At 48.2% G+C, this 6,372-nt stretch overlaps 1 annotated feature.

Moving 5' to 3' along the window:
- Positions 404–583: a silencer, noted in NCBI's record as "fragment chr5:172633891-172634070 (GRCh37/hg19 assembly coordinates)". NCBI's record gives its function as "represses an EF-1alpha promoter that drives an FKBP-Casp9 reporter gene in an ReSE screen in HepG2 liver carcinoma cells and phorbol 12-myristate 13-acetate-treated (for megakaryocytic differentiation) K562 erythroleukemia cells {active_cell/tissue: HepG2 | K562(+PMA)}" and the evidence as "EXISTENCE:reporter gene assay evidence [ECO:0000049][PMID:32094911]".

Genomic DNA, 6,372 nt, shown 5'->3' on the forward strand with positions numbered 1-6,372 from the left:
TTTTGATTTTCATTTGTGTTTTATTTCAATGATGCGGCTGTGCTCTTCCAGCATCATTACCCTTCCCATCAGGGACACCAAATTCTTAACCCTGTGACTGCCCCTCTAGAGAACATCCTTTCATTTGCTATGTATTTACTGAGCACCTACTGTGTGCCAGGCAGTGGTGGACCAAATAGAGGCAGGTGAGTCCTCTGGATAAAAGTCTCGGCTCTGAATGCAGCCTGCCTGAGTTCAGTCTTAGCTCTGCTCCTTAATTTCTGTGTCTTGTTGACTAAGACTGTGGACCTTGTCTGGAAAATGAAGAGAACGATAGTGTTTGTCTGTAGGGTTGTCCTGAGGTTTAAATGTCCTGGTGCAGGGGCAGCAGGTGCAGTCTGACACTTGGTAACTGCTAAGTAGGCATCGACTGTGATTGCATCGTCTCTGCCTTCATGGTGCTTACCTTCTAGAAAGGAGACAGGAAAGCAAGGCACCTGCAAGTGTGTAGTAGCAAGCTAGAATGTGCGGCTCAACTAAAAGACTTGGGCATCCGGGCTTGGTGAGTAAAAGAGTAGAAGCCTTGGTGGCTCACGCCTGTAATCCCAGCACTTTGGGAAGCTGAGGTGGGCATATTGCTTGAGCCTAGGAGTTTGAGACCAGGCTAGACAGCAAGGTGAAACCCTGTCTCTACAAAAAATAAAATAAAAGAATTAGCCAGGCGTGGTGGCATATGCCTGTAGTTACTGGAGAGGCTGAGTTGGGAGGATCACCCGAGCCCGGGATGTCAAGGCTGCAATGAGCTGTGATTGTGCCACTGCACTCCAGCCTTGGTGACAAAGCGACACCCCGTCTCAATAAATAAATGAAAAATAAATAAAAGGACTTGGAAGGATCCAATTTTGACTCAGGCTTGGGAAGATCTTCTCTGAGGAGCAGCATTTAGGCTGAGTCCTGATGGAGGAGGAGGAGACACAGGCCAGGTGTGAGCAGAAGGGGGAGATCTGCAGGAAGTAGCTGAGGAAAGGCGGGTGCAGCTGGAGCTGGTGACCAGGAGTGGGAGATGGGGCTCCGGAGGGCCTTGTTGCCCAAAGAAAGAGTTCAGAGTCCCCTGCAAGAAACAAGAAAGCCTAGAGGCCCTGGTGGAGGGGAGGGATGGTGCCAGATTTCTGGTTTTGAAAAGATCAGTCTGGGCTGGGTGTGGTGGCTCATGCCTGTAATCCCAGCACTTTGGGAGGCTGAGGCAGGCAGATCACGAGGTCAGGAGATCGAGACCATCCTGGCTAACATGGTGAAACCCCGTCTTTACTAAAAATGCAAAAAATTAACCGGACGTGGTGTCGGGTGCCTGTGGTCCAAGCTACTTGGGAGGCTGAGGCAGGAGAATGGAGTGAACCCGGGAGGTGGAGCTTGCAGTGAGCCGAGATTGTGCCATTGCACCTCAGCCTGGGTGACAGAGCAAGACTCCATCTCAAACAAAAACAAAAACAAAAAACATGCATACGCGTGTGTGCATATGTGTGTGTGTGTTCTGTCTCATCAGAATCAGGCAAGCTGGTAATCAGCCACAGTGGGAAAGTGAATCATGTCATGTGCCTCCGCCCCACAGAAGAACAAATACAGTATGAACTGTTTTCCTGACCACCACATCTGCTATGGAGACACTTGGGCAAAGGCCATCAAAGGCAGCATTTGTGTCGTTGGCTTTTCATTCCCCTTGAAAGAAAATCTCAGCTTCCTCCCATGACTTTGTATCAGCTGACAATATCCAGAATAATGCTGGGAAACAAATCATCCCCTCAATCCAGTGGTTGACAACCATCAGTTTTTCTCTTTTGCACATCTTTGGGTTGGCTGGATTTTTTTTTGGCTGGTGTTGGCTGGGCTGGGTCCAGGCCTGCTCCTGGTGTCTTCATCCTCCTTGGACTGGTGGGGTTGGCAGGGCAGCTCCTCCCATGGTAATGGCAGAAGCCCGAGAGAGCAAGTTCCACTGTGAAAGCAAATGTCACATCTCTGCCTGGGTCGTACTTGCTACATCTCATGCATCAAAGCAAGTCCCATGGGCGAGCCCAAAGTCAAGGGGCAGGGAAGTGTGTGCATGGATGTAAGCACCATGCGGGGGAGTGGAAATCTGCCCAGGCTACAAGGCTGACCTCTCCGACTCATGTCACATTCTCCCCCACCCACCAACCACCCGAGTGCTCACTCCAACGACACTTCTTATTTCTTGAACATGCTAAGGCCATTCTCACCTCAGGGCCTTTGCACGAGCTGCTCCCTCTGTCTTAAACTCTCTTCTCAGATCTTCCTCCAGCTGCTCCATCTGAACATTCAGGAATTAACTCAAATGTCACCTCCAGAGAGTGGCTTTGCCAGACCATTTGGTCTAAGTGGCCCTCACAGAGTCCCCTCTATCACATCCGCTAGCTGAATTCTCTTCTCAGTACTGATTACTCTAATATTTCCAATGGTCTCATTTTATATATTTGTTAATTTGTTGATTATCTGTCCCCCTACCAGAACCTAAGATTCATGATGGCAGGGATCTTGTTTGCGGTCAGGTCCCCAGTGCTCTCAAAATGTTTCATCAATTCATATTGAACAAAATTCAGGACTGACAGGGAGGAGCAGAAGAAGAGGGTTCGAAAAGGTGACAGGTCAACTGCAAACAGGCATATTTTTAAAAAATTCTGGGTCAGGAGCAGTTGCTCACACCTGTAACCCCAGCACTTTGGGAGGCTGAGGCGGAAGGATCCCTTGAGCCCGGGAGTTTGAAACCAGCCCAGGAGTTCCAGACCAATGTAGTGAGACCTCGTCTCTACAAAAAAATAAAAAACAAAATTAGCCAGGAATGGTGGTGCATGCGTGTAGTTCCAGCTATTTGGGAGGCTGAGACAGGAGGATTGCTTGAGCCTGGGGGAGGTTGAGGCTACAGTGACCCAAGATAGTGCCACTGCACTCCAGCCTCAGCGACAGTGCAAGACCTCATCTCAAAAAAATAAAAAAGAAAAATTTGTCCCCAGAAGTGTATTTCTTTATCTTGAATGAAAAATAAATAAATCCATTCCTTCATTCAGGCAGCACCTACTCACTGCCTGCTGGGAGGCAGGCTTTACGCAGGGTGAGCATGCAGACACGGCCTTCATATGATGGAGCCCACAGTTTAGCAGCAGAGGCAGGATCAGGACAGGATTTACAAATGCCACAACTGCTAAAGAAAAGAAGTATGGGAGACTACGAATCTGCAGCTGCTGCTTCCTACATGCAGGTTTCATTCATTCACCATTCACTCGTTCATTCAACACCTGTGACCACCTACTGGGTTGCTTGCTCTGTATTAAGAATTGTGGGCACAGGGAGTAATCTGATGCAATAATAATTGCCATGTTACGAAGTCAATTCTCTAACAGTGAAGGCTGCTTTTCAGAAAGGGTGGGTCCATGACACGGACCTTGATGGATGAAGAGGAGCTCACTAGGTAGAAAGGGAAAACTGCAAATACAAGAATGTGGTTGCATATGAGACAATGAGAAGAGAGGATCATTAGTTCTATGGAAAACTCATGCCAGAAAAAGAGCCATTTAAAATAAATAGAGTTGGGGCTGGGTGCGGTGGCTCATGCCTATAATCCCAGCATTTTGGGAGGCCGAGGCAGGCAGATCACCTGAGGTCAGGAGTTCGAGACCAGTCTGGCTAACATGGTGAAACCCCGTCTCTACTAAAAATACAAAAATTAGCTGGGCATGGTGGTGGGTGCCTGTAATCCCATATACTTGGGAAGCTGAGGCAGGAGAATTGCTTGAACCTGGGAGGCGGAAGTTGCAGTGAGCCGAGATTGTGCCACTGCACTCCAGCCTGGGCAACAGAGTGAAACTCCATCTCAAAAATGATAATAATAATAATAAATAAATGAAAATAAAAAATAATTTTAAAAATAAAATAGAGTCCAATGTAAAAGCATATTTTAAGGGAAGAAAAAATGATTAGTTTGGGACTTTGTCTTAAAGAAAATTCATGAAAATTCATGAAAATAAATTCATCTTACAGTCAACAAAAGTTGTTATGTTTTAATCCTTGGAACAACTCAAGATGGAAGCAAATGCTGATTTGGGGGAAAGGTATAGTTTTTTAATGATCAAGTCAGCCACAGGCTTCACTTTGCATTTGATTTCAGAGTGCAGGTGCCAAGGTTTCCCCAGGGCTGCCTTTTCCTCGGGGGTGTCAAATCATTCTCGGGTGAGGCTGTCTCTGTCTCATTGTTTTCTCTGTCATTTTTCTCTTCATCAATGGTTGACCACTCCCATCCCCGGCCAGTTCCCCATTGCCCATGACTGAGTTGGGATCCACGAGGTTCCTGATGACCTCCTGCATCTGTTGCAAGACTGGTGTTCTCATTTTGCCCTTGATTTGCCCTGGATCTGCACCATCTTACCAGACCTTTGTTGGCAAGCTCACAAAGACATTAACAAGATTCATGGTGGCCTTGTTGGGAAGGCAGAGCAATGGACCTAAGCAGGCAGGGAACTTGAGTTGGGGCAGACTGGGTAGGTGGTCAGGTCTTTAATGCTTCCCCGAGCCTCGGTGTAGTAGGGACTTGCACATTGCAGACCCTCTGTAGTTGCTGGGTCCAAGGCTAGGGCAAAGGTGAGGCGCCCAGGGAGCTGAGGCTGGGAATGGAGGCCCGGGCAGCCTCCAGTGCTTGGCTTGCCCTTGAGGGCAACGGGAAGCCCCGACCAGTTTAAGCGGCACAGGACCTGGTCAGCTCTAACCTCAGAAATCTTATCTGAGACAGCTGAGTGGACTGGAGTGGACGGGGAGGAGCTGGGGTCTCAGCAACATTGAGGTAAGGGCTGTCCATCCTCTGCCCAAGGGTGGCTGGTGGCCCAGGTGGTCTCACCCAGCCCCCAGCCCCCTCCTTTGTGTAAGCTGGGTCTGAGGGCCGATGCTCCCTCATGCTTGAGAAGAGGCTCTTCTGGAATCATGGACTGCCAAGGCAGGAGTTACAGGGAGTCAGATGGGAAAGCAGGGGCTACTTTGCGTAGGATGGCCAGGGAAGCCGCTCTGAGGAGATGATCCTTAACTGATGACTGGAGGCTGAGAAGGGGCCGGGGGCAATGAGCCTGTGGAAGGGCCTCCCAGCACGGGCAAAGGTCCTGAGGCAGAAGATGTTTCACTGTGAGCCTCGTGCAGGAAGAGGAGGGTCTAAGCTGAAGCTGAAGAAGCAGATGCTGGCGCGGCACACCTTGGAATTTGGATCTAAGTTTAAGGAGAAAGCACCCAAGGGCTTTAATCAGGGGAGTGATGTGATTGCATCTGACTTGTGTCTTCGTAGGATTCCACTGGCTGTAGAGGCCAGAGGGGAGCAGGGAGATTGGAGCCTGTGACTGGAATCCTGGTGAAACCTCAAAGTGGCTTGGACCAGGGCAGTGGCAGTGGAAACAGAAAAAAGTGAGCAGATGTGAGGTGTAGTTTGGAGCTTCATTAGACTGGATCCACCAATGTCCACCCCATACATGTATCCAGATCGCAGCCCCACCTCTCAACCCTGAGGCCATAGAGCATGCTGGAAATAGCATGTGTTTCAGAGTGAGACAGGCCTGGCTGGAGTCCCAGTACCCTTACTGTAAAGCAGAGCCAGTTCCATCACCTTTCTGAGCCTCAGTTTTCTTATCTGTGAAATGAGAACAACCTCCTCAGAAAGTGAAACAGAATTACCATATGATCCAGCAATCGCACTCCTAGATATAGACGCAAAGGAATCAAAAGCAGGGACATGAATAGATACTTGTGCACCAATGTTCATAGCAGCATTACTCACAATAGCCAAAAGGTGGAAGGAACCCAACTGACCATCAACAGGGGAAGAGATAAACAAAACGTGATCTATCCAAACAATGGAATATTATTCAGCTAGGAAAAGGAAGAAAATTCTGCCACATGCAACAACATGGATGAACGTTAAAAACATCATGCTAAGTGAAACAGGCCAGTCACAAAAGGACAAATAATATAGGATGCCACTTATATGAGGTATCTAGACTAGGGAAATCCGTAGAGACAGAAAGTAGAAAGGTGGCTGCTGGGGGCTAGAGAGGGTAATGGGAGTTATTTTTTAAAGAGAGCAGTTATTTATTAAAGAGAGATGAAAAGTTCTGGAGATGAAGAGTGATGACATTTACACAACTTGTAGGTGTGCTTGGTGCCACTAGATTGTACACTTAAAGATGGCTAAAATGGTATATTTTATGTAACATATGTTTTACCACAATAAAAATATTTTTTTGGCTGGGCGTGGTGGCTCACACCTGCAATCCCAGTACTTTGAGAGGCCGAGGTGTGAGGATCACCCGAGGTCAGGAGTTCGAGACCAGCCTGGCCAACATGGTGAAACCC

This window comes from Homo sapiens, chromosome 5 (assembly GCF_000001405.40).
Source record: "Homo sapiens chromosome 5, GRCh38.p14 Primary Assembly".
NCBI classification, from domain to species: domain Eukaryota; kingdom Metazoa; phylum Chordata; class Mammalia; order Primates; family Hominidae; genus Homo; species Homo sapiens.